General features: G+C 48.8%; 1 annotated feature.

Moving 5' to 3' along the window:
- Positions 92 to 729: an enhancer, noted in NCBI's record as "NANOG-H3K27ac-H3K4me1 hESC enhancer chr12:51631660-51632297 (GRCh37/hg19 assembly coordinates)". NCBI's record gives its function as "activates a minimal SCP1, AML or CMV promoter by ChIP-STARR-seq in naive H9 embryonic stem cells {active_cell/tissue: H9 hESC(naive)}" and the evidence as "EXISTENCE:reporter gene assay evidence [ECO:0000049][PMID:30033119]".

Below are 729 nucleotides of genomic sequence, written 5' to 3'. Positions count from 1 at the left end.
TTCTCTGTTGGACGCTCGGATGCAGAACGATGCAAGCATTCCCCGGAACCTTTTTCCACCTACACGCATTCACTCAAGGTCACCTCACCTTGGCAACCTTCCACGAGGGGCTTAGATTTCTGCAAATTTGTCGCACTGCCTGAAATCGGCTCCCCACACCTTAGTTTATCATGCGTCCCTCCCCACCAAGCCCAACTTAAGCTTCAGCTCTGTTAAAATTTATTTTGCCACTCCAGCTCACATGTATCCTTTCCTGAATGAGACCTGCACTGGAATCTTCGCTGCCCTGTCTTCCCCAGGACAGTCGTTGCCTTTCTCACGTACAGGAAGGGGTTATGTTTTCCGTGCTGTACGCAACACCTGGCACTGAAACTGACATAACTGCACTACCCATGGAGTGTTTGTGGCCCTTTCCTTTTTTTAGCACCTGTTGCAGGTGACCTGTATGGTACCTCTATTTTTCTCTATGTATGGCTTCTCTTTCTAACCTAATTATCCTTAAGGGCAAAGATGGCATCCTTTAGGGCAGCGATTAAGTGTTTTCTTTTCTTTTTCTTTTTTTTTTGAGACGGAGTCTTGCTCGCTTGCCCAGGCTAGAGTGCAGTGGGGCGATCTCACCACAGCCTCCACCTCCCGGGTTCAGGCAATTCTCCTGCCTCAGCTTCCTGAGTAGCTGGGCCTACAGGCGTGCGCCACCATTCCTGGCTAATTTTTGTATTTTTAGTAGAG

Source organism: Homo sapiens, chromosome 12, assembly GCF_000001405.40.
Source record: "Homo sapiens chromosome 12, GRCh38.p14 Primary Assembly".
NCBI lineage: Eukaryota > Metazoa > Chordata > Mammalia > Primates > Hominidae > Homo > Homo sapiens.
The sequence above is the reverse complement of the archived record's forward strand: the minus strand, read 5'-3'. Positions and strand labels throughout refer to the sequence as shown.